Genomic DNA, 27,642 nt, shown 5'->3' with positions numbered 1-27,642 from the left:
CCCAAGTCCTGTGCAAATGTGATGAGTGGCTGATTGTCCAGGAGCCCCAGGCCAGACTTGTTCCAGCACTGTGTCCATGCAGAACCCTTTCCTGGGAATCAGTGAGTCCTTTCCATATGGAAGCATCCCCAGGATGTAGAAGGGAACCTTTTCAGCTCCGCTGGGACCCTTTTCTCAGGGGCTGGAGCCTTTATTACCTGTATCCTGGCCTCTTCTAGGGCCTCACTGTATTAGGTGGAAGAGAAAATATGAAAACTTAACTCCTAGCCCATTTCCTTGTCTGTAAAATGGGGCTGCTGCCACCTGACATCACCAAGCAGGCTGTGGGCTTCCAGCTTTTCAGATTTTGAATGAGTGTTGCTGGGGCCAACACAGATTCAGGTGCACCCAGTTTTCTGGGAGTTCTTGCCAACTGGGTTTCTGTCTTCAAAAACAGTCTGCATTATTTTTGCATATTGTTGCAAAAGAAAACAAAGCACCAGGACTCAGCCCAGCCAGCACCAGGGGCAGCATGACTGCTCTCCACCCCCAGGAGTGAGCAGTATTTCAGCCTTTCAGCCTTGGATAGCTGGGCTTGCTGAAACCCCCATCTCATTCAGCTCAGTGGTTGTCATTGGGTCCCTAGGTGAAACATTAAGCACTGTCCCTTGGAGATAAGAGGTTGTAGGAGGGAAGAAATCTGCTGGCTTCTGGGCTGCAGGAGGAAGCCTGGGCAATCTGGGGTCAGATGCTTTGTAAACATTCCCTTACACTCCCCACTTCTGTGTCTCACCTTGCCCATTTCTGAGGTTTCTGAGCTCTGTTGATAAGACGAATTTCCCAGCGATCCTCAGCCTAGTGAGGATGGTAGCATAGACCTATGAAAATATCAGCTTGCAACCAAAAGTGAGGTTTTGTGATTTGGAAAGAGGAGTTTTAATCTACAGCCTTGCATAGCTAGCTAAGCCTTCCTTATTTCCTGGGAGCAGTTAATAATGTGTGTAGCTAAGTGCTCAGGCAACCTCTACCCTCCATTTTTCCAGCCTTGACTCCCTGTGGCCACCCCAGCCAGCCAGCAATGCCAACACAAGTCTCCGCCAGGGGTGTGTGTATGTCATAAATTGAACTTGACATTCGCTAAGCTGCTCCCGCCAGCACCCCATCATGATATTCACGTGGGCAGATCTGGGGGCTGCAGTTTTGCATTTTGTTTTCATTCATAAGAGCATCTGCCCAGGGATCCCTGGAAGAGAGCCCTACAGTAAGTGTATTCTTTGGTTTTATTTGTAACTACATCTCAGTAATAACTTTCTTCTTGCAGTAGGCCTATTCCTTCCACAAACTTTCCCATATACTATTCATTTCATACTGTCAGCAGTCTTAACAAAGCTGGCAGGACCAGATATCAGCTCTGTTTCACAGACGGAATGGAATGAGTGGCAAAGCCAGATCTAGAACCCACGTAGCTTTTGAGTCTGTATCTTTCCCATCCCCTGTGCTGCCACGCACTTACCTCCCTGCCACCAACTTGTTTTGAATTCTTGCAGCTCTAAGAGCTGACCTGTGTAGTTTTTATTTGGGTCTGTTATTGACTTGAGCAGACATTTATGAGCACTTTTCATGGGTCAGGACAGTGCCCATCTGTCCTTTCATCCTCAAAGCAGCCTGTTGAAGAAGGTGTTATTATTCCAGTTTTACAGGTAAGTGAACTAAGCTTCTTTGGGCCACATGGCTTGCAAATGCCAGGTGAGAATTTCAATCCACGTCCCCTGACCCTCATTTCACTTCCCTGTCTGACAAATCACACTAGATCTTGGGCTGCTTTACTAATAGGCACTCAGAGCTTCCTCCATGTCCAAATCAATCTTTTCAGAAAGGGGTCCAGAAAGCTTGGAAACCTGTTGTACTCAAGAGGCATTTAAATTGCCAACAACAGAAACTACCTGGCTGATTTTAGCAGAAGGGAATTATTTGAAAGGACCTTAGTTCCTCACGGAAATGTATGAGAGGCTGGGGAAGTCAGCTTGAGAAACACAAGGAACAAAGAAAGGCTTGGCAGCTGCAACCACAGTCCAGATCACACCAGAGAACCCATCAGGTGTAGACAGAGTCGGTTGCTTGCAGTGGTGCTGGTGCTGGGTGATAGAAGCCGTCATTGCATCACGGGCATCACAGCCCTAGAAACTAGATGCTGCTACCCCCACTGCCAGCACAGATCTCCACCTTCCTCCATTCTCATGTACCAGGCCAGAGTGGTGTCCCTGGTTGGCCAAGCCTGGCTGTGTGCCCATGGCTTTGCTGCAAAGGCTTCTGGGAAAGCAAACAGCTGGCGTGCCTTCTATGGGGGGAGGCTGTACCACCCACCAAGACTCTCAGGTGGGAAATTTCCCAATCACAGCAAGGAGATTCAGGGGCTGGGCAGCTCCCCAAAATCACACATCTCTACTACCTTTCCTCCCCCAAACACACAAACACTCAATTATTGCACTGTAGGTTACTTGTCAGTTTTTACGATTACCATCTTCCCACCACTCCCTGGGCCTTGGCACAGACTGCGTCTACCATTGGAGCTGGTGCAGGTGAAAGTGCTCTGGGCAGTAGCACGTTAATCATGTTTACCACCTGCTGTGGGTGGAGCCCTGGAGCTGGTTTGCCTCCTGGCTGCAGGAGGGGTTTATTGCCTCTGTTAGGCCACACCAGCAGCAGATGGGGTTCTCATAAGCTGATTGTTTCCCTCTGCTTCTGGCTGAAGCAGGAGGATCTCTTGTTTCTTGGGGAGGAAGCATGGAGCACTGGGCTGCTTTCCTTTCTTGGGCAGGCTTTGGCCACTCTAGGTGTTTTTATCCCTCCAAGGACATGCGTTCCTAGGCTGCAGGAGGTGGGGTTAATGTGATCCCGCAGTGGCTTTCCTGCTGGCACCTAGGTTCATGGAAGTGGAGTATGTGGCATGCCCATCACTGCCTGGTTCCTTTGGCTGAGATGAGAGGTGCCCACTTGCGGAAGGCTGGGGCCCTGGGAGGACTTCCTTTATTCAGCTGTGGGAATCCTGTAGGAACCCCAGCACTATAATGGCTGGTTTCCCCATCCTCTCTCTTTCTCGATAATAATCTTTCAGTTGTCCCAGCAGGTTCACTGCCATGGATATGGAGCAACCAGCTATTCGTCTTCAAAGAGAAGAGCCACTGTGTTCTCCCATGTCAAGCCTCCAGCCCTTCTTGCTTTCCAGTTCTTTCATCTTCAAGCTCTAGACTCTGCCCTCCTTTCATTGATTTCCCAAATCTTCTCAATACAATGCTGGGGTCTGCTGGGGGCGGAGCCTGAGGGGTTGGCACTTCCTTTATTAACCCATCTGGTAGTTCTGAGGCTCAGTCGTTTCATCCTATCCCCCATTCCACTCATGTGAAAAATGGAAAACACGGGGCTTTGGGACCACAGAACTGAATTTGCACCCTGGATCTGCACATATCTCTGACCTTGGGCAATCATAATCTCTAAGCCTTAGTTCCCCATTTTCTACAAATGGGGGTGATGGTGCTGGAGTGGTGCTTAAGTGAGCCAAAGGGAAGCCCCTGATGCCAAGTGGATACATACAATTTTAGCTCCTCTTCTCTTCCTTGTGCCCTTTTCTGCCCCAAGACTGAGGCTCTGGCCCTGCTCTGCACCTGTTTCTGTTGCTACTGCCTACAGGGAGCCCAGAGGTGGGGACACAATCTCATTGATAACAAGGGACTGAAAATAGATCTTAAAAACCCTAGAGCACCTCACTGAGTCTTTCTTTTTGATGGAGTAAAAACTACTGAAGGAACTCAGAAACAAAGAGAGTTTTGGAAGGAATGTAGACATATGTCTGAGAATACTTAAGACTCTTCCTCTGTGGGGGTTTCTAGAGCTTGCAGGCAGGTGACACAATGAGTGGACGGGGCTGGAGAAACTGTGGGAGGTAGAATTCTAAGAGGACCTTTGCCACTTGGTGTTACTTCTGTGATTAGTTCTACGGCAAAAAGGGGATCATCTGGGTGGGCCTAATCTAATCACAGGAGCTCTGGAAAGGTGGCAAATTCTCTCTCACTGGTGGCAAAAGAGGAAGTCCAAGGGCTTCCAAGCATGAGAAGCATCCAACTTCCACATGCTGTTGCTGGCTTGAAGATGGCAGGGCACACAGCAGGAAAGTGGGCTCTGTAGAAGCTGACAGCCAGCAAGGAGATGGGGACCTCAGTCCTATAGCCACAAGGAACCAAGTTCAACCAACAGCCTGAATGAGCTTGGAAGCAGATTCTTCTCCAGAATGATTGTGTGAAACCCTAATCAGGGATCCAGCTGAGCCCACCTGAACTTCTGTTCTAGAGAACTGAAAAGCAGTAAATGGGTGTTGTTTTAAGCTGCTCAGTTTGTGCTGGTTTGTTATAGCAGCAATACAAAACTAATACAGGACAGCAATGCACTAGAGACTGGTGAGGACTGTGGTATACTGGAGATGTACATGCCATCTAACTGTGGAAGCCACTAGATAGCTACAACTGAGTGTTGTCATGCAGGAGGCTCTGCAGAAGAAACCCAATGTTTCTGGATTTTTGCATTTTTTGAGACCAAAACTTAGGACTGTGTGAAATATATTGGCTTTTAAAAAAAAAAAAAAAACATATCTGCTGGGTAAATACACTTGTGATCCCTTCACTAAAGCACAACCCACCTTGAATAGAGAATTTCCTACATTTATTCTGAGATGTTGCCTAGTTTAAAGTATCTTGCCTTCCCACTGTACACACAGTGAGGATAGTGTTTCTCTTGAAGTATTGACTTGCAATCAACAAGGAGATTCTGAGGTTTTGTTGGGGACTAAGTGAGGGCTTTGGGAGATGATAGGAGGTTCCCAGCCTTTTGGATGTGTGATGAGGTTTCACGCCATGCTTGGGAAGAGAAAGCATAGATTCCTTTATTTCTCAACAGCCAGGCTGACCGCCATTCTAGGCCTCCATCCTCTTAGGTGGGTGGGTAGGAAATGGAATTGTAGTTCAACCCAGCAATCTCACCCAACCCAATCATTTGTGTTTTCTTGTATCTCAGCCTCTTTTACATGACTCTGGTGACCCAATGTTTGGCATTCTGCTTTTTCCTCTTCCACTCCAGAAATTGGCTCTTTCTATGGGGGTAGTGTGGCTTATGAGACTCTGGCTCTGTCCCTTGGATCCAGGGGGTGCACTGTGAATCCTGGCTTGTCCAAGCGTGGAGTGGTGGTGTAGGCTCAAGAATGGCTGTTCTAGGCCACTCTCTAGAATAGCGACCACCGAGGTACAGTAGTTGTCATTTGGCTATTTTGGACCAATATAGCAGGACTCAACTGCTGGAGTTCACAGTCCTGGCCATTTTCCTCTGTCCGCAAGTCCCTGACCACTGTCACCACTGTATCCAACTCCAAACCTCTGTTCTCCCATGGGACCTCTTGCCCCCGTCCCACCTCCCTGCCTCCTTAGACTCTGGTCTGTATGTGCCACTGACATGAAGGGGAGGACTGCCCCAGGCCTCCCTGCATGGGAAGCTGGCCACTAGCTTGGAAGGTCTCTTGGTTCTACATACCTACCTGTTGTTTCTAGACCTCTACCCTCAGTCTCCCTTGGGCTGGAAGTAGCAAGCTTTTCTTTTCTTTCCTGGGGAATGCCCCTGCTGGAAGGAGCTGGCTAGTGACTCCCCAATATCATATCTGCATTCTCAACTGTAGCCTCAAATATAAGCTGTAGAGATGGAGATGTATGGGATTTACCAATAAGGTAACAGAAATTCGAAAGTGTTTCAGGAGTAAATGCTCATTACACATGTGATAGTTTCCGTCATTAGATGACCAAATGCACACGAAGCAATCTGAGAAAATCCCCGTGCTAATGGGGGTTCCTGGGCAATAAGAGGGCCCAGGCAACAGGCTTGAGTCATGGGGGACGGTTCACAAAGGGGTTGGTGGGATAGGGGCTTGGCCTTATGGGCGGGTTGAATGTAGAAAGCACTTGAGCAATTAATTCAGTTCAACACTAAGTCCCATCAACATCAGCCATCCTGACTTCCTTTCACTGGCTGTAACCCTCTTTCCAAGCCCACTGATAGCCCCAGGAGCTTTAACACAGGAGCTGAATATGAGTCACTCTGACCCATTTCCGTTTCAGGTGTGAAATTAGGATGGAAACTTAATCAAATTGCCCTGAGACTTTAGATGTCACCCAGCAGAACATCGGGCCTCCCATCCCCACCGCCCTGGTTTCTGAAGCTCACTGCAGTCAGTCGCATGATTGTCTTCAGAGCCCTCCTTTTGTGCTGTGTGCTGCAGACATTGCATATATGTGCACAGGCAAGTGTAGCCAGTAAAAATAGGAGCGTGTATCTCTGGGTGACATGGGTGCAAAGAATAACCTAGCCAGCCTTAAGAGAAGGGTGATCAGAAGGCAGCAAGGGTGCAAAAGTTCAGATCAGACCCAAAGTACGACTTGATGGGAGGAATAAGTCCTAGCGTTCTATAGCACTGTAGGGTGACTGTAATTAGCAACAATTTATTGTATATTTTCAAATAGCTATAAGGAGAATACTGAATGTTCCCAACACAAAGAAATCATAAAGATTTGATTTCTTTGGCATGGGTGCAGTGGTTCATGCCTGTAATCCCAGCACTTTGGGAGGTCAAGGTGGGCAGATCACCTGAGGTTGGGAGTTTGAGACCAGCTTGACCAACATGGAGAAATCCTGTCTCTACTAAAAAATACAAAATTAGCTGGGCTTGGTGGCACATGCCTATAATCCCAGCTACTTGGGAGGCTGAGACAGGAGAATTGCTTGAGCCCGGGAGGCAGAGGTTGCAGTAAGCTGAGATTGCACTGTTGCACTCCAGCCTGGGCAACAAAAGACAAGAGTGAAACTTGATCTCAAAAAAAAAAAAAAAAAAAAAAAAGATTTGAGATGATGAATATGCTAATTACCTTGATCTGATCACTATACATTATATGTATTGAAACATCACTATACCCCAGCAATATGTATAATTATTACGTGTCAATTAAAAAAACTTATTTTTGGCTGGGCGTGGTGGTTCACACCTGTAATCCCAGCACTTTGGGAGGCTGAGACAGGCAGATCACTTGAGGTCAGGAGTTCAAGACCAGCCTGGCCAACATGGAGAAACTCTGTCTCTACTAAAATTACAAAAATGAGCCAGGTGCATTACAGGTGCATGCCTGTAACCCCAGCTACTAAGGAGACTGAGCAGGAGAATGGCTTGAACCTGGGAGGCGGAGGTTGCAGTGAGTTGAGATTGTACCACTGCACTCCAGCCTAGGCGATAGAGTGAGACTCTGTCTCAAAAAAAAAAAACAAACACACACACACACACACACACACACACACACAAAAAAAAAACATATTTTTAAAAAGACTAGGCTGGCTTTGTAGCCAGACAATCTGGGTTCAAATTCCAGATTTGACTCTACTACTATCGAGTTGTGGAATCAGAGGCAAGTTGCTTACCCCTCAGAGGCTCAGTTTCCACATCTGTAAGATGGGAACAGGACAAGTACCTGGTTGTGTAGACTAAAACATGAAAATGCATGCAAAATACATTGTGCCTCCTCTGGCACAAAGTAAGCACTCAATAAATGACTGTTGTTGCTATTTGAAATTGTACCATTTGTGCTATGAGCAGATCAGACTAGTCTTTTGAGTTGGGAAGTTGTATTGATGTTAAGAACTTTCATGGGGATTGAAAATCGGGGATTTAGTCTCTTCAAATGGCCTCTTTTAATGTATATGGAGGAAGGGACAGAGGGAAGAGTGAGATTTAGACAAGTCAATCCTGATGATACTTCCACTTCTTTTGCAGTTTCTAACTTCAAAAAAAAAAAAAAAGCGTAGTGTGTGTGTGTGTGTGTGTGTGTGTGTGTGTTGGGGGAGCAGGAAGGAGATTAGCAGGAAGAAAAATAAAAGGGGAAAAAGAGCTGGGCTAAATGGAGTGTTGCAGTAAGTGAGTGAGAGAGTGAAAGTGACTAAATGTCCCATGTCTCAGGGTGCAGGGATGGAGGGATTATAAATAGCTCTGTTCATATGCTTAGTTCTGTTGAAACCAGAGATTTGTCTTTGACCTGCCTTTTTTCTTTTTCTTTACTCTAAACTCCAATTCTGCTTAATCTTTCTTGAATCACAGATTATTTTAAGAATCTAATGAACCTCTCTCAGAAAACTGTGCATCAGGATATACACACAACAGTTTTTATAAACAGTCCAGTATTAGCAGTTTCCCAGATTCCACATTAAACACCATTAATCTTATTTTAGACCATTTTTTATACCCGAACCAAACTCTGAATGATGAATAGGCAAGCTCCTATGCATGCTTCAGAACCCAGCTCAAACGTTCCCTCTCCAGCAAAACTTTCTTCCATGCCCAAATCGGTTGGGCAGCCCTTCCTTCATGGTTTCATTGTTTATCACTTTCTGAGATCTGCATTCCATAATCACGCCTTTCCTGATTGGTCTCCTCTACTAGACTGTGAGCTCTTATTCATCTTTCTTACTCATTTTTTGGTCCCAGTGCCTAGCACAGAAATGTTGAAGGAACAAAGTATAAATGAAGATAATGAGTTCCCTACTTGAAATGCAAAGCAAGCCGTCTCTACCTTCTGCAAATGCGAGGAAAAAATAGGAAGCCATATCTGATGGGACTTCTTTTGGGGGCTCTGCCAATCTGCTGGGACAGCTGCAAGCCAGCCTGCAGAACTAGCATCCGTTTTGGCTTCTAGAAGATAAGGGGCTGTCAACACAAGTGGAATGATGGGGAGGAACTCGTGGAAAGTAGCATTGCCTCTGAGATTTCCACCATGATTAGATCAGGGATTGTGTGATTGGAAGTGTGCTCACGGGGAGGGATGCTTGAGGTTCCAGGCTGATTATGTTAGGGAACAGCCCTGGTCCCTGGGTGGCCAGGTGTCAGCCATCCTTCAGGTACCCAGGGATAACTTCCCTGATGAAGGGCAGCAACGGGTACCTGCTCTGTGGGACAACAGAGCTCCATCTTTCCCTAGAGGTGTGAATGGGAAGCCCCTTGCCCAGACTCCCAGGGGTACCATTTGGATCAAGTGTCAGCCCCACCAAAGCTCTGATCTGTCCTGAGATAGGAGCAGAGACTCAGCCACAACTTGGAGACCCTGAGCTTGGAGGATATAAGGGGAGCAGCTGCCTGAAGGGCTTTAGGGTCTCTGGGCTGGAAACTCTTCCCTATAGCACAGATTTCTCAGGAGGGCCATGAATATTTTGGCTCGGTTACAGAGAACACATTCAGCAGGCTTCGGAGGGAGCTGATTTTCCATTTCCCCATGAGGGATCTCAGGAGGGCAGTAAAGCTTCTTCTGAAATTATTTAACTTAAAAGCTTCTGATGAAGATCAGGCACACTGCCTTGCACATAGCACTCTAACCCGTCAGAAGTTTCCCACGGATCTCATTTTGCTCCTAATTACAGCACGGCAACATAGGTTGGAAGGTATCTCTCAGCTCCACCATTTTAAAGACAGATAGCTTCGCTTTATTTGCTGCTGAGAGGATATTGTCTTAAAATTTTAAGTTGGTTCAAGCCCCAAAGCCTTCAAAAGACCCAGCTTTAGCTCTTTGTTCTCACACAAAGGGCTGCCTGGTCTTTGTGGAGTGAGTTGTGAAGGCCTCCCCAGAAGACTCAGGCCAGTCCTCGTGTGCTTTCTGCCACTCACCCGTGGTCACACTGCATCACATTGACAGATGCGGCAACCCTCCAAGACAGCCATTTCTGGATGCAGGGACAGAGCCCTCAGGGGGGCGAGCTGAGCATGGAGCCGTGGCGTGATGGTTCACAGTCCTGGATGGATGCAGCAGAGTGACCCTCACCCATCATACCCGCATGTGCACAGAAAGCCCCTCCCGTTCCTCTACCACCATTGAGAGCACCAGGGGACTTTGCCAGACCTCTCCCACCACTTGGGAAATGTTTGGGGCTTGGCAAAACACAAAACATACTTTCTCAGGCACTTCTTGTTTTCATGGTTTTCATTTTTCACTGCCTGTTAATCTGGAGTGAAATAGAGTCCATATGTTCCAAGTCCCTTTGCCTAATTCTCTGCAGCATGATTTTTATCTCTGAAATTGTTTGAAGTCCCAAAGTTTTTGATCTTTTTGCCTCAGAAAGTGGGCACCACATTTTGCCACAAGAGGATGTAAACCTGAGACCTAAAGAACGTGTGTTGGCCTGGTGCTCCCAGAGGTGTGTGGACTCAGCATGGGACAAGTGGCTCCCTTGTCTTTTCAGGGAAGTTGTTCACCTAGGAGTAAGAAAGTGCAGATGGCCTCCTTAGGCTGTGCACAGTGACCTAGGGCAGTATTCTTTTCTCATGGCAAAAGGGGGAAAGCCTTTGTAGGTTTCTCCATTAGGAAATTAGCCATGGCTGTAAAGGGCTTATAAGAAAACAGGGCCTCTGCCTCTGCCTGAACCCCTCATTTTCTGTCTTCCCGGTAGAATCTACTTACCCTCAAGTCAAAGAAATGTCATAGCCACGTGCTTAGAGAAGAGTGCAAGACTGCCTCTACTTATTTCCTACATTAAATGGGAGAGAGTGCTTTTCTCTAAAGAGCCATTTTGGTGCTTTCTCCTATGCTAAGACAGATGATTGTCATGAGAAGATCAAATACCTGTGGTATTTGCTGGAGAGCCGAGTCCAAAGCCCAGGCTGACAGACAGGCAGTTTGCAGAACAGGTACCTGTGTGCTTTCTTCGGGAGAAATCCCAGCATACAGTGAATGGCATCTGACACACCCAGGATTGTGGGGTATGTCAACCACACACTCAGACAATGCAAGTTCCCTTTACGTTGCACGTGGTTTTAGGGATGAGAGGAATGCTCTGTGCCACACTAATCCACCTACACACATACATACATACACACACACACACATAAACACATATACACACACACACAGTGTCTGACTAGAAGTCTATACTTAGAATTGTGCTCCTTTAGCAAGAACCTTTTGATAGCGAAGATTTGGGTGGGGAAAAGCTGGAAAAAGAAAAAACCTGAGGATCTTGAGGATCTCAGAGTGGGCTTTTCAGAAGCCCACCGAGAGAGGTAGGGTAAGGGAAGACTGTCCAGAATGCAGAGAAAACAAACTTTGCTTAGCAATTCGTGAAGGGTCTGCTGGCTCTGCGTTTTGGGTTCCTTTTGGAACTGGAAGGATTATCTTATTTTTAACAATATGTCCCAAAGCCTTTAAGAATTTATTGTGAATGTATGATGATGCCTGGGCCTCAGAACCGGAGGGGATCCGTGCATGGGCTTCAGGTTGTGGCAGAGTTTTGTGCATCTGTCTGAGTTGCATGTTTTGGAGAGAGAGTCCACAGCTTTCAGTAAGAATCATAAAGAGGTCTTGAGCAAATGGAGCAAGAAGACCTGGCAACAGAGCCCGGGCTTCTGAAGCTTTCAAGATTCAGGGTCAGCAGAACCTTCTACCAGCTCTCTGGGGCTCAGGAACTGGGATGGGCCCATGAGAGCTGGGACCTGCCAGCTCCCCTAGACTTTGGAGGACCCTTTTTCCATTATTGTGAGTGCTGTCCTTCAAAGGTCTTCCTGTCTCTTTGTGGATTTTTTTAATTAGCTTTTTTTTTCTGACCATAAAATTACAAATTTAGAAAATATGGAAAAATGTGAAGAAAATAAAATCAATCATAATCCTACTAATCCAACCACTCCTACTAATCAGAGTAAACCTCCTAGGGTTTTTCTTTTTCTTTTGTCATTTCAGAGAGGGTTGAGATCATATATGTCTATGAATAGAGCCCTTTTCATTTAACATTACATCATAATCATCTTACTTGCCATTGAAAAGTCTCCATAAGCATCATTTTCTATGGTTGCACAATATTCTATTATATGGCTGCATGACAGTTGACTTAACCCTTTTTCTGTTGGGTATTTGCGTTGCTCATAGTTGTTTTGTTTTTTGTTTTGAGACAGGGTCTCACTGTCACCTAGGCTGGAGTGCAGTGACACAGTCATAGCTCACTGCAGCTTTAAACTCCTGGGCTTAAGTGATGCTCCCACCTCAGCCTCCTAAGTAGCTGGGACTACAGGCATGCATCACCACGCCTGGCTTTTTTTAAGAAATGGGATCTTGCTATGTTGTCCAGACTGGTCTCAAACTCCTGGCCTCAAGTGATCTCCCCAAAACTCCAGAATTATGGGCGTGAAGCCACTGCATCCAACCTCTGTTCCCAGTTTTTTGCTATAATAAATAATGCAGTCAAAACTATCTTTGGGCAAGAAGCCATGCTTGCATATTGGATTAGTTCTTTATGAGAAATTCCTAGAAGTCTCGTTTGACTTTTGAAGATATCGTGTGTTAAGATGTTGCCGAGACCCATCTGTAAAGCATGAATGTTGCAAAAGACTGTGGGCACAAAGGTGGGGCAGGCAACAAGGTTTGCTGGGTTCCTGCTGCACACTGGATGCACCACAGGGTGCTGTGGGTATTAATGGAGACTTAAGCATTAAACAACCCAGCCCTTATCCTTGAGGGCCTTACTGTATAATGTGGAGCCATATCATATATATTAGGTTGGTGCAAAAGTAATTGCAGTTTTACCATTAAAAAGAGGGCACCACAATTACTTTCAGTGGTAAAACCACAATTACATTTGCAGCAACCTAATAAATAGCCTGAAGGGATGTGTGTGTCTCAGATCCCTGGGGAATCCACATGTGAGTCTCAGGGTGGAGTTGCATTTTTGTATATCATGTCATGTTCATTTTACATCTTCTGGAGCTTTCATCAAAATCTCTTTATCTATGGAGCTGCAAAGAATTCCATGCAATCATTGTTTTGGGTGTGTAGGGAAGGGGTGTGGATCATTTTTCTCTAATTATTCTTCTTTTATTATTTTATTTTATAGTTTTTATAATAGAAAAAAATAAAAACCTTTTCTTAAGTGCCATTAATATGACCAATAGCGTATACTAAGCAGATGGCAGTCAGGATCCTGCTTTTGGGGACCTTGAAATAGGGTGTAGTAGAGGCCAGAGCCTACACCCAATGGGTGTGAGGCAGATTTTGGCAGTATTTATCACCTGTCCCTGCAGTGACCTACCGCTGCATTTACATATAAATCTGTTCCTGGTAGCATGAGCTGGTGTTAGATGAGCCTTATGCCTACGGGATCATATTGTCAGAACATAATGTTACACAGGTGTGTGGCACTTTTGGCGATACAAACCAATGTTATCTTATCTCTCTGCCGGAGCCTCAGTCCTCATCTGGTTGCTAAGCACTAAAAGAGCTTCTCACTGCTATTTCATGGCCATCAGGGGCACCAGCCCAGCTCTGCCAACATAGAAGAAAAGGCAAGGAGGTGTGGTCATTCTGTAGGCTCCAGGCTTTTCACTCAGGGCCAGAACTAGATGTGCACGTGGAAACTGACAGCCATGGTTTGTATTTCCTTTCTCCAATCTGTACCGACCAGTTCTAGGATTTGGCTAGCTCTTCCACTGGGAAAATGAGAAAGCCATGTGCCAGGCTGTGGCCCTGGACAGACATCTGCAATCTCACGACTTCTACAAAACCCCATCTTAGCTCAGCACGTTGTAAGTGTTCGTGGATTTTGTCAATTGAGTGTCTGTAGTCAGGACAAGTGGGATAGGGTGGCGTGTGTCTCATCACCCCATTTCTCTTGGGGTCTCTCCCACATCTGCGGCTGGAGTGCCCAGGTCTCCATTAGAGGGTCTATGGGTGAGCATGCCTAGACCACAGAGACCTGCCCCAGGACAGGTGCTTTGACTCCCAAGTCTTTTTGCCTAGCGTCTGTTTTATCTGACTTGCTAACAAATCTGTGTCATTCTTTTTTTTTTTTTTCTTGCCCTCCAGTTGGCTGTTTCTCCAGGTCCAGCTGAGTTGTTTTTCTTCTTCCCTGACTCTTGGCTTCCATGAAATAAATCCCTTTCTCATTCCCTGCCACTCTCCTTTCCTTTGATCCTTTGTTTTCCCCAGACCCAGAACCACTTAGTCTCCTAAAGGGCTCAGAGAGGCATTTTGGTCTCTGTGTAATTTATACACACATCACAGTCATCACATAAGACTAAATCTTATTTGGCCTGACCTCCACTGGCCAAAAGCAACATACCCCACCCTGAAGCAGATGGGGGTCGGGAAGGAAGCAGGCACTGCCAACTCCTCAGATTTAGGTGATATCCGCTCTTTGTAGGAAAAGAAAAACGTTAAACGAACACATCTGTGACCACTGCCAGCCCTAATCCAGAATGCAAAATAAACAAGCATGATAATGCTCAAAATACAATCCTGGGGAATTGTGAGGGGTGGAGAGGGGAAGACATTAGCCAAAAGCTTAGACCTTCAAAGGGTATCAATAAGAAGTTCTTCAGACTTAATTAGACTTACCTTGGCTAGGATTTAAGTTTATGTATTCTTATTCTGTCCAAATACAGGCACTCTTCTCCTTTCACTATATGATTTTTAATAATAATACACTTTTACTAAAAATGATATTTTAAATATAAAATACAACATATCAAACATTTTATATATATGATAACTGTAACAATATATTTTATATGTAAAAAGATTATATTGTATACTTTAATAGTACTATCTAATATTTTGTATTTAAATAACATAAAAGCAAAATCTATTTCTGTTTAAAATGTTATAGGTTTATATAAATAAAATATAAAATGAAGCATTTTATACTACCTTAGCAAATATTGTTAAACATTTCTAAAATATAGGTTACTTAAATATCTTAAAATAAACCTTACTATTTAAATCAATACCAGACATTTAACATTAAAATTAAGTAAGTCATGGCCTTTTGGGACCAGGACACCTGTAATCCCAGCACTTTGGGGACTTAGAGGGTAGGGGACCACTTAAGACCAGGAATTCGAGACCGGCCTGAACAATATAAGGAGACCCCTGTCTCTTAAAAAAAAATTGGAGACCCCATCTCTTTTAAAAAAAAAAAATGGCTGGGCGCAGTGGCTCACGCCTGTAATCCCAGAACTTTGGGAGGCTGAGGTGGGCGGATCATGAGGTCAGGAGTTCCAGACTAGCCTGGCAAACATGGTGAAACCCCATCTCTACTAAAAATACAAAAATTAGCTGGGCATGGTGGCGGGCGCCTGTAATCTCAACTACTCGGGAGGCTGAGGCAGGAGAATCGTTTGAACCCAGGAGGTGGAGGTTGCAGTGAGCCGAGATGGTGCCATTGCACTCCAGCCTGGGTGATAGGGTGAGAATCCATCTCAAAAAAAAGTTTAGCTAGGTGTGGTGGCACCTACTGTCTTAGCTACTCAGGAGGCTGAGGCAGGAGGATTGCTTGAGCCCAGAGATTTGAGGCTGCAGTTAGCTATGATCGCACCACTGCAATGCAGCCTGGGGAACAGTGAGATTCTGTCTCAAAAACAAACAAACAAAAAACAACAAATTAAGTAATGCAACATAAATATTTAAAGTAATATTGAAATATATAGAATATCTTTTTTATTTTCATTATTTTTTATTTTTTGAGACAGAGTCTTGCTGTCCCCAGGCTGGAGTGCAGTGGCCAGAACATAGCTCACTGCAGCGGCCAGAACATAGCTCACTGCAGCCTCAACCTCCTGGGCTCAAGTGATCCTCCCACTTCGGCCTCCTGAGTAGCTGGGACCACAGGCGTGCACCACCACGCCCGGCTCATTATTATTATTATTATTATTATTATTATTATTATTATTATTATTGAGACAGGATCTCTCTGTGTTACCCAGGCTGGCCTCCAACTCCTGGGCTCAAGGCCTCCTCCGGCCTTGGCCTCCCAAAGTGCTGGGACAACAGGCATGAGCCACCACATCTGACCTTCTTTTTCTATTAATGTGAAATATTTTAAGATCTGACCCAGGGACGCGCGCTCGGACATGGTCCTGCCCCGCTGACCGCTGTCTTCCTCCCACCCGCAGGCATCGGCAAGAACGTCATCTGCGACCGCACGGCCACGCCGCTGGACGCTTTCCGCATGACCTCGGCCGCCCACTACTACCCCAAGCTCATGAGCATCATGGGCAACGTGCTGCGCTTCCTGCCGGCTTTCGTGCGCATGAAGCAGCTGATCGAGGAGGGCTACGTGGGCGAGCCGCTGGTGTGTGAGGTGCAGGTGCACGGCGGCAGCCTGCTGGGCAAGAAGTACAACTGGAGCTGCGACGACTTGATGGGCGGCGGCGGCCTGCACTCCGTGGGCACCTACATCATCGACCTGCTCACCTTCCTCACCGGCCAAAAGGCCGTCAAGGTCCACGGGCTGCTCAAGACCTTCGTGAAGCAGACTGACCACATCAAGGGCATCCGACAGATCACCAGCGATGACTTCTGCACCTTCCAGATGGTGCTGGAGGGCGGGGTGTGCTGCACCGTCACCCTCAACTTCAACGTGCCCGGCGAGTTCAAGCAGGATGTCACTGTGGTGGGCTCAGCCGGGCGCCTGCTGGCCGTGGGCACCGACCTGTACGGGCAGCGCAACAGCGCCCCGGAGCAGGAGCTGCTGGTGCAGGACGCCACGCCGGTGAGCAACTCCCTGCTTCCGGAGAAGGCCTTCAGCGACATCCCCTCGCCCTACCTGCGCGGCACCATCAAGATGATGCAGGCGGTGCGCCAGGCCTTCCAGGACCAGGACGACCGGCGCACGTGGGATGGGCGGCCCCTCACCATGGCCGCCACCTTCGACGACTGCCTGTATGCCTTGTGCGTGGTGGACACCATCAAGAGGTCCAGCCAGACGGGCGAGTGGCAGAACATTGCCATCATGACCGAGGAGCCGGAGCTGAGCCCCGCCTACCTGATCAGCGAGGCCATGCGCCGCAGCAGGATGTCCCTCTACTGTTAGCACAGATTGAGAACCTCGGGGACTTGAGCCTTCTGCAGGGGATGTCCACAGAGAGGGAAGGGCCGAGGGGAGAGGGTGACCATGGGGAATGTGGGGATCAGGGAGGTGGAGGGACAGTGTGAATAAATGGCATCTAGGAAGGTAAACTCCAATCCCGGTGACCGACCCCAAACCAGACTGTTGGTGGGCTGAGCTCCTAGCCTGGAAGCATTCAGGAGAGCCTGCCATTCCTGGGATGATCCCTGCTGGGTATTTGCACGAGAGTGGTTTGGTTTAGCTGCCTCTGCTGCCCTTTACTGTGACAAGCAAGGAGGGGTTGCTTCCCTCCCTACCTCATCCATCCCACACACCTTGGCCTTCTGCAAGCCAAGTGGTTCTGCAAGGTCAAGGCACTAGTATCAGATGGCAAGCTCAGTGCCCGGGATACCCACTGCTGGCAGGAGAAGGCCCATTTTCACAGTCCACAGAAGCGTGTTAGGCTGGGGTTGGGGGTGGGATGGGCTGGTGAGAAAGTTCAAATTCCAGGAAGCCACTTTTTATTGGATATAAGGTATCTAACGGCAAAAGTACTTAGTAGCAAAGTGGCCACCTTTTGATTGATTGGGCTTCCTCATAGGAAGCACTGAGGGTGTGTCTTTGTACTTGGTTCATTGCCCTTCACCTGGTAGAGAAAGAGAGGTCAGAAATAGCAAGCAAAAAGCAGGACTCCCAGGAGCCACAAGAAAAGAGCACAGGCTGCACCAAAGCAGGGGCAGCAGAGAATAAAATATCCCTTTGAACTTGTCAACAATTAAAAAACTGCAAGGAGTCACCTTATAACACTATTTCCAGTAAAGGTGGAATTGAGTATCAGAGGGATTACTGCGGTGTTAAGGTAGCCCTGCCACGTGGCTCTCCAGGCAGGGCCAAGAAGACAGCACAAAGTATGGGTTTGGCCATAAGCTCATATGCTGCCCCCAAAGACTGGGGAGAGCTGTGTGCCTCAGTGTTGCAGTGTGAATTCCTAAATAGAGGGTAAAGTGAGCCTAGCCAGGAGGTGTTTGGGGCTCTATCGCGCATCTCTCCTACCAAGCTGGGCAAGAGCTTTTAGGAGATTCATCCAGCTTTGTGGATTTAGAAAGGAAGCCTTCAGTTCCAATCAGAATCCTCTTTCCTTACAAAAAAAAAAAAAAAAAAAAAAAAAAAAAGGATTTTCCTTAGCTCCAGCATTTGCTTTCAGGATTCTGACACCTGAGAATTTGGGGGTAGGTACTAAACGAAACAAAACAAAAGGACAACAAGGAACATTATTTCTAGTGTTTCTAAAATGGGGGTTTAGAACCCCTTAAGGGGCCATACTTAGGCTTGAAAAGGCTAATGTTGGAAAAAACATGTTCTTCTAATTGGTCTGCTGTCTGTCTTGTCCTTGCACACTCTGCTTACAGAGTTTTGTTAGAGATGCTGAACTGCAGGCTGGGAGCAGGCAGTGCCAAAAGGGAACAGACACACACACACATGCACGTGCACACACACACACACACACACACACACAGATTTTTGAATGGTTGCTACCGACAAATGTCGCTGAAACCATTCTTTAAAAATTCAGATCTGGTCTTGAAAGAAAGAGCCAATCAAGTGCATTCAGAGAACAGGGAATTATCCTTTGTTATCTTTGTTTAATTCTTCACCCCACGTAAGACATTTGTCAAGTGTGGACGTGGAAGCCATTCCTCATAAGTCTACGTAGCTTTTGTTCACAGGCTCACTGAAGTCCAACAGGTGTCTTTACATGCAACTGAGGTTTAGAGTTCTTTTCAGATAGCTGCCATTGGAACTAGAAGGGAATCTAAGAGGACTGGAGTCCACCTCCAGCCTGTGTAGGCAAAATCTGAGAATGAACAGCCCAATCAGTTGCATCCTTCATTGTCCTCCCTAGGGTCAATATTCTTTGAAGCCCAGGCTACTCATAGGTGCAAGTGTGGTGTGTCCAAACACGAGGGGAATGCTGGGCATTTTCTAGAACAGAGAAGTAAGTACTGCCTTCCTGGAAAGAGTCGCCCTGCTTCCCGAGGCTTTGCTACAGCACTGCAGGGTGGGTAAGCTGAAATTCCATGCGTGGTTTGTTGTGGTCCCTGACCTGTTGCTGACAGACTTCATGGTCAGCATTCCAGCTCTTGCAGCTATCAGTTCCAAACCAGAGATTTGCTGGAATGGAAGTCTCCCAATAATAGTTTGAACAGAGGCCCATGTCATGGACTGCTTTGGTTCACATTCTTCTTCTTTTTTTTTTTTTTTTTTTGAAATGGAGTCTCGCTCTGTCACCCAAGCTGGAGTGCAGTGGTGTGATCTCAGCTCACTGCAACCTCTGCCTCCCAGGTTCAAGCGATTCTCCTGTCTCAGCCTCCCGAGCAGCAGGGACTACGGGTGGCTGCCACCACAGCCGGCTAATTTTTTGTATTTTTAGTAGAGACGGGGTTTCACTGTATTAGCCAGCATGGTCTCGATCTCCTGACCTCTTGATCCACCTGCCTTGGCCTTGCAAAGTGCTGGGGTTGCAGGCGTGAGCCACCACACCCAGCTGATTCTGGTTCTTCTAAATTGCTCCCTGGGAAAGTAGTTTTTGGGGAAACATTGGAATTATTATTATTATTATTTTCTAGCTAGCCTGAAGGGCTCCGATTAAGGATGAAGGGAAAGTAAACAAAATGATTCAATGGGTTTCATTTTTCTAAGTCATTCATAACCTAAATAGGGATATTCCTGGGGTTTCAATTGTATGTTTCTGTACTAAACCATAATACTCGCGAAATCTTTTCCCAAAACTTCGGGTTTTGGAGAGAGGTCCCCACAAAGGCCTCTAAGCTCTGTAATACATATTTAATGTCTAAAACAAAAAATCTCATTTGAAGCTGGGGTATTAGAAAGAACATATATTCTTTAAAAGAGGCATGAAAAAATATTTTAGTGTGTGTACTCAAATTTTATCTACTGAAATGCATGTAGTAGGTAGGTGAAGGAACAAGAGAAAGAAAAGAACTGGATAGTTCATTTTCTTTAAATATAAACTGTAGCAAATGGGTTTGAGATACTCCTTTAGTGCTCCATTTGCCCTTATCCCACCACATGCAAAGACTTGATTTGGGGTAGCTATATGAAGCTGAAATCTCTAGCCTTCAACAGTGTTCTGCAGAAGGACTTTGTTTCAGCCCAGCACCGTTCATCATGCCTTTAGGGGTCTGGGTACCCACAGCTGACTTTGACCTAGGACTAAAACCCAGCAATCTTTTGGCTCCTTTCTGCTTTGTTTAATGTGTTTCAAGGGCCTCGATGCAAGGAGGCAGTGCTTTAAGAGTCTTCCCATTTAGTTCCTGCATGCCTGTTTCGTTCCCATCAATGTGCGAATGGCCTAGATTCCAAGTTATGAGGGAGGGTGTGGGTCAGGGTTCTTACCTGGTATTTAAAAAATGTTTGGGAGTGCCCTGGGCCTATTTGAAAAGTTTGAATCTGTGATCACTGTCAGCTCCTCCAAGACTTCTCCTCTCAACAGACAATTGCATTGTAGGGCACCCCAGACCCCCCTTAGCCTACATGGCAGCAAATACCACTGTGCCAGTTATATCTGGACTCTAGGGTAGTCTTGGCCAACTCCAAGACTGGCCAACTCCAAGACTTGTCCACTGTGTGCAGAGTATTTTAAGTATGTTATCTCATACAATCCATAAAAACAACCCTATAGTGTTGGGTATTGCTATTTCTTTTATACACATGAGAAAATGGAGGCAGTAAGAGGAAGAGGAACTTGTTCAAAGTCACACAACTGTTAGGCAGAAATGAGGTCATTCAAATCCTTAATCTTCTCCTCCAGACCACACTGCCTCCCAGGAAGAGATGTGGGCACCTCCTGTTCTTGCCAGGCAGGAAACCGCTCCTTATCAATGTCTACGGGGTCTGCTCTCACACCCAGGAAGGACTGTGACAAGCATGGACTAACCTGCGGCTCCACTCAGCCTGCTGTCAGCACCCTCCTGTTCAGCAGGATGCAACATCTGATGTTCTGCCAGGAGGCTGTAGAGCTGCACATAGAAGTAGCCAGTGTTTCTTCCCATTCCAAAATGGAAATATCACTCAGCCTTTTTTAAAATTGACTTCCTATGTTCATTTTGATTGTAGGTGATGCAGCAAGCCTCAGGGCTGGGGATTTTCAAAATCTTGTTGGCTGACTATTATAGATGGCCTTGGAATTTGCTCTTGGGGGTCTGAATATAACGTAGGAAAATGTCCTTTCTCAGGGAGTGGGGCTTTAAAGTTCGTTTGTTTGTCACTCCAATTTTAGCTGTGCACTGCACCTTTCTTTGCACCCCTACTCTCTTCATCTTGTCTCATAGCCACAGCTATTGAATTTGGCCTGTGATCATAAGTTGGGTTTCTGATCTGATCTCTTGCATTCTGGTGGGTACTGGGGGCAGAATCAGCTTTGTTAATGATTTTCTGGGCAGAAGGTAAATTCAGCTGCATCTGAAGGGGCTTCACAGTCCAATAGCCGTCCTTTTGTTTTACATAACAGAGAGTGATGGTCAAGGCCACCCACATCTTTAGTGGTAGAGCCAGGACAAAAAGTCAGGTTTTCTGCCTCTTAAGTCTCATGCTGCCTCACATAGCACCTCCAGAGCTCTAGGGAAAGGAGGCTCAGAGAGATGAAGTGACTTGTCTGAAGTCCTGTGGCTAGTGGCAGAGAAGTTGGAATTAGACCTGCATTGGACCTCAATTCGCTGAGCAGTTGCAGGGAAATCTGGAAATCCTTTTTTTTTTTTTTTTGAGACAGAGTCTTACTCTGTCACCCAGGCTGGAGTGCAATGGCGTGATCTCAGCTCACTGCAACACCGCCTCCCGGGTTCAAGCGATTCTCCTGCCTCAGCCTCCTGAGTAGCTGGGATTACAGACGCACGCCACCATGCCCGGCTAATTTTTGTATTTTTAGTAGAGACAAGGTTTCCCCATATTGGTCAGGCTGGTCTTGAACTCCTGACCTTGTGATCCGCCCGCCTTGACCTCCCAAAGTGCTGGGATGACAGGCGTGATCCACCGTGCCCAGCCGGGAAATCCATTTTTTAAAATAAATTCAATTATGTCTTGAATGTACTCAGAAAACGAGCTGTTTAAAATGTCCCATTGTGACTGTAATGTGAACAATGACCTCTAACTTGTATTTTATTTGGCAAGGATGGGGGATGTGCATCAAATCTTCACCTCTGGGATTTCCTGAGGCTTGGTCTACTTGGCTCACCCTCCACCTGCATCCCCACCCCACTCCTAGATATTAATACAAATCTAGCCTTGACACCGCCTACTGCTCCACCACCGCCTACGTTTTTGGCCATCAGAGCCTTGGAGTTTACAGAGCAGAGGCCATGACATTGGGGAGCTTGTTTAAAAATCAATGATCAGAACCCCACATTTTAGTTTCCTTTTGGGGAGAAAGAGGAGGGCCGTGGAAGAAAAGGGGTGTGCAGCTGGAGCGTTATTATGTCTTTCTCAGCGGCAGGCATGCCCGCCTCTCCACCTTCTCCCCGCCAGGCACAGGAGCCAGCAGCTGGAGCGTGCTCTGAGTTTCAGGGGACCCCCCACCCAGACTGACTGGGGCTTCTGGGACTTCTCATAGGAAGAGTCAAGACCTCCTGCGCTTCTTTAAAAGGTGATGGGCTCAGTGTTCCCAGTGGCATCTGGAGGTGAAGCCGGTACTGTCTCAGGAGTGGAAGGCAATGGCCCACTGGCCTTTTTCTCCCCCACGTCACAGTCCCCATTTGCTGGAGCCCTTGAGGGGGCCACCGAAACTGTGGCTCTCATTCAGCCTCCCAAAGTGTTGCACTACTGAATACTCCTTTCTGTTTACACCAGCAGTGAATAGAGTCATGAAAAGAACATATTATATGCAATGGCTTGATGCTTAGTGTGGCAATCAAAAGCTTGCCTGGGCAGATGTAGGCAGGGGCTAGACAATAGTCATGGAGTTGTCACCAGGTCACTGTCTCTCTCCTTCCCCTTCCAGGTCTCTACTGTCCCCTGCAGCCACCACAAGGGCTAAGCTGTTGAATGAGCCCCTTGGTTTTTCCTTATAAACGCAATGACTTACTTGTGATTCTTGGTCTAATCCCAGGCTAAGAAACAAAACAAAAGCTTGTGATCTGACCCATTCCTTTGCTGCCTTCCTTCTCTTTCAGGCACCTGGACGTATTTAGTATTCTGCCCTGTGCCTTGCCCAGGGGAGGGAGAAGTTTCTAGCAAATGTGACTTTCTGTCTGCTGCCTGGTGCTTTTATAGTACTTCATCTGCTTTTTATTGTTGTTGTTGTGTTTTTTAACCAAAATGGCATTTGTTTGGCTGTCATTGTCGAGTATATATTTATTGTGTTTTACAAACATGAGTATATATGTATGTATATGTATAAAACCAAACTTATATATATAAGAAGTCAAGGCATGTATACTAGATATTTTAAAGAGTTATTTATCAAGGGAAAAAGATGTGTGTTATAAAGTAAACAGAGTCTATATTTTCTATATAATGTAGATAGTCAAACATAGCTTATAAATTATAGGAGGTTTTGGTTTTCTTTTTTATTATTAAAGGAAAAAAAGAAGAAAAAAAAAGACAATGAATGCAACTGTTCTTAGTGTTTTTAAGGCCAAACTACTGTGGAAGCTGGGAGGCGGCCCTCCCTGCGGGCCTCCAGCAGCCCTGTGCCTGCCGCTAGGAGCTCCAGAGCTGATGCCCGTTGTGATCTCTGCGATGCTCGATGCTCGGAGCCAGCGGTCAGCATCACTCAGCCAGCTGGCCTGTGCCGCTCTGACGTGGCTTCCAGCTGTTCTCCGCAATTTGCATTGGTGGGATAAAGGAATGAAAAGGATAAATAAAGATTTAAAAGAAAATACAATTCCAGCTCTTTGCCTGTTTTTTACACCCTGCTGCTCTCAATATAGGCGCCTGATCAGTTTGTGGGATCTGAAGCATGAATGGGTGCATCCAAGGTAGAGGGGTGTGGGTGCCTGTGGTGTTTGTGTGTGTGCTGGGGGAGGCTGTTCATGAGTCAGCATCCATGAAGCTGAACAATGGAAATCAACAGACCTACAATTTTGATTGAAAACCAACGCGTGTGGGAACTGGAGGCACTTCAAAGCCATCTGGTTCAAACCCTCATTTTGGAAATGTGAAAATGAAAGGCAAGTAACCTACCTATGGCCTCTGGGTATGTGTTTGTGTGTCCAAAGCTAGTGTGGACAACCAAAGCTAGTGTAGACAACAAGAGGATGAGAACATAGCTCTTAGATTGGGGGAGCAAATTTTAGAATTCTCTAGAATTCTCTAGTATTTTAACACTGTAACCTAATACTTCACACCAAGCACTGAAAAACAATTTTTTTTTTTTTTTGATACAGGATCTTACTCTGTCACCCAGGCTGGAGAGCAGTGGCATGATCACAGCTCACTGCACCCTCTACCTCCTGTGGCTCAAGCGATCCTACCACTTTAGGCTCTTGGGTTGCTGGGATTACAGGCACATGCCACCACGCCCAGCTAATTTTTTTTTTTCTGTATTTTGTAGAGATGGGGTTTCATCATGTTGCCCAGGCTGGTCTCGAACTCCTGGACTCAAGCGATCTGCGTGCCTCAGCCTCCCAAAGTGCTGGGATTACAGGCATGAGCCACTGTGCCCAGCACTGACCATTTAAAAGAGCGTCTTTGCTTACTTCCTTCTTAGCAGTGTTTAAGGGCAACCATCGCAGATTGAGCTCAGCCTAATTTCAAATTTGCATGACATAGAGTGTTTTATGGAGGGGCTGGCCTTTCCTTTCTATCTTTTGCTGAGTCTTAGAGAATGCTCATGAATGTTCCTTCTGGTCTATGGTTTCCCCTTCACTTAAAAATAAGAATTAATACTGCAAAATCTGAAATCTCATTCACTCCTTCATGAGCAGGTCCTGATATAAATACATCCAGAATTCAGTCCATCTATTATGATAACATTGTAGCAACCCCCTGTATCCACATAGATTATTGTCTTGAACATATGACATTCTCATACCACATGATTCTGCAGTAAATCTAACAGCAGTTCTAAATAAGGCCAAAAAGGAGAGTGCTTTGTCAAAACTAAAAGCACCATCCACCCAAATGTGAAGTGTCATCACGATGGCATCCATTCCCCTAAGTTTCTTTCAGCAATGTGACTTGAGAACCAACCCTCAATGAAAACTCGAATCTCCTAACCAGTTATATAAATTTTAAATCTAGGAGCTAGTTCTTCTTTCATGGATTTTGGATTCTCTTTGTGATGTTGGTTTGTCTCAATTTAGTCCCATTTCTTGCTTTGTAAACCTGCGATTATATGCCTCCTAGTAAACCACATGATATGATCAGCGCTGCTTTCATAGTCTCTGAACTGTTGCTTAAAAAGAACAGATATAATTGCATGGTAAGTCATTCAGGTTGCTCTTTACTGGTGAAATGAAGAGAAACCTGGGTGTCCTCTGATGTCTGTCTATACACCCCACCTCCCTGATTCACAGAACCATTTTCCGGTTTCACTTCTTGCTTCTTTTATCTTGTGCATTTTTAGCACCTGTTGTGACAAGCCTGGGTGACTCGATCTAAAAAATGAAATGACTTACAATTACTGTAAGAATGAATTACAGATACATGATGTATGCACAACTCTGTATAGAAATGAAAACAAAAATAACTTCACCTCACTCTAATTCATAGGCTACCATGTTATTGACCCTTATTTACCTAACTTTTGCTTAAGCAGGAAAGATCCCTCTGCCTAGATATCCCCTGGGCTTGGCGCCCTCACTCCTCCACCCCAGCCCTTATGCATTTGGCAGTAGTAATGGCCCCTGCAGGGAATGTTGTCCAAGAAGTCTAGATGATAGAGATGAAGAAGGCACATCACTTCACAGAGTTTATGCCAAGTCACCGCCAGAAGCGCAGTGTTACAATTTACTTAAGCCAAGACTGCTACAAAAAACTGATGCAAATGGAAGCTATTCAAAATCCTTTGCCTTGTGCATTCAAGTTGAGGCTCCCTTTTGAATCCTATCTCTGAGTCTACATCTGCTGGGTAAATTCCTGAACGATGACTTGAGCTGTGACAGCTTTTGTAGCATTGCTGTGGTCCAACCACAACTCTGTAAGATAAACTACCTAAGCTGGTTGTTGGACTTCCTCTAAAATGTCATTCTAATTATAGAAACACCTTTCTTTCCTGATTTTATACAGATTCTAATCACCTTAACTGCTTCTCTTCAGCCATGAATGAAAGCGAAAGATTAAGTCACTTTTAGAAGCCTTCTTGGGCAATTATAGATTAATTCATTTCTCGCTCATTGAAGGGACTCAATCCTAGAACAACAGTCTGGAATACATGTGTATGTATGCCCCTTTGTCTCTGACCTGCTCATCATTGGCCATCAATGCCCTGGGAAGGAGGGACCCTAGGAAGGCCTGAGGGGCTGCACCTGATGTGCAGGTCATGTGCACAGACCCCACAGGTTCAGGCTCAGTGTTGAAATTCCCTATGTCATTAACTCCCTTGTAGGAAGGATGAAAGGGTCTAGATCAGATTTAAGTCAGACATAGGCTATTTGAGGCGCCTGTGGGAATGGCAAATCACTCCAGACTCCTCAGAAGCAAAGGCCAAGCAGGCCTGAGAGCTAGTGAAACTCCAGGGAGAGGAGCAAGACCAGGATCTGCGCTTTCTCAGCTTCCCAAAGCTGTCTGTCTCGGAACTAACAAATGAGGCTGACTCTTCAGAGTTCTAGGCCAAGGGATCCGGACTTGACACTCAAGTTTCTGCCATGAAGCAAAAGACAGAGCTAGCCTGGAAAGAGCAGCTCTGTATCACTCCGGCTGTGAAGTGCTAAAACTCGACATCTCCCTGAGGAAACAGGAGAGAAGAAAGGATGGAGAGAAAAAAAGAGAGGAAGGAGCTGGCATTAATGGACCAGCAAGGGAAGGAGAAGGGAGCAGGAAAAGCGGTAGTTCACGTAGGGTAAATTAGATGAAGGGGAACAAACAGCGAAAGGTCAGAGGGCTCTGCACTTAAAATAAGGAAGCTTGTGAAGATAAGTAAATGTTGCCTGAGATATCTGAAGTAGGGTTCCTCTTTGGCTGACAAGCCTTAATCTGCACTCTGGAAACAGCTTGTATGAGGAGGAGGACGGCAGACAAGGAGGAATGAGGGAGGAATTCTTACAGGAACCATCTGGCTGAGTCACTTTTAGGGCTGTTCAAAGCTACCCAACTGTTGACATTTCCTGGAAATTCTTTAATGCCAACAATTGTGTTAAATGAGCAACATCCTTAAGACCCCGAGTGCACCTTGGATCCCCTCGTCCTTTCTTGTTGCGTTTGCGATTTGCAAATCCCCTGAACCTGAAGTCTTCAAGGATTCAGCATCTGCCATTTCACCATGTGTTAGTCCCCTCCCTGGGCCCCTTCAAACACACTCTCCACTCAGAAATCTACCATTTAGCCTTTATTTATTTATTTATTTATTTATTTTTGACGCACGCACAAGGCTTCTCACTCCTCCTCAGCTTTCAAAGAATCCACCCACTAGGCTGTCACTTCAATCTGCTGTCTCCTCCTGCAGCACAGAATTTCTGAAGAAAGTCCCCAGGTGAACCAGCCTGGCCAGCAGAAATGGATGCTCACCCACTCCATCTAGCCCCTGGCCTCTGCTCTCCTGGACTCCCTGGCTCAGTCCTC

General features: G+C 46.2%; 1 protein-coding gene across 3 annotated transcripts in view, besides 1 other annotated feature; it reads left to right on the top strand.

Annotated features, from left to right (window-relative positions):
* GFOD1 (Gfo/Idh/MocA-like oxidoreductase domain containing 1) overlaps window positions 1–23,806 on the top strand; it is a 129,771-nt gene extending 105,965 nt beyond the window's left edge. For all 3 annotated transcript variants that reach the window (NM_018988.4, NM_001242628.2, NM_001242630.2), the window contains exon 2: window positions 15,974–23,806. In NM_018988.4, coding sequence (NP_061861.1) covers window positions 15,974–16,893 — 920 coding nt within the window. In that variant the 3' untranslated portion in view covers window positions 16,894–23,806. The remainder of the gene's footprint in view (window positions 1–15,973) is intronic.
* Window positions 25,931–26,020: a silencer, noted in NCBI's record as "silent region_16928". NCBI's record gives its function as "represses an Ori minimal core promoter by ATAC-STARR-seq in GM12878 lymphoblastoid cells {active_cell/tissue: GM12878}" and the evidence as "EXISTENCE:reporter gene assay evidence [ECO:0000049][PMID:35858748]".

This window comes from Homo sapiens, chromosome 6 (genome assembly GCF_000001405.40).
Source record: "Homo sapiens chromosome 6, GRCh38.p14 Primary Assembly".
NCBI lineage: Eukaryota > Metazoa > Chordata > Mammalia > Primates > Hominidae > Homo > Homo sapiens.
Note: the sequence above shows the minus strand (reverse complement) of the source record. Positions and strands in the feature narration are given on the sequence as shown.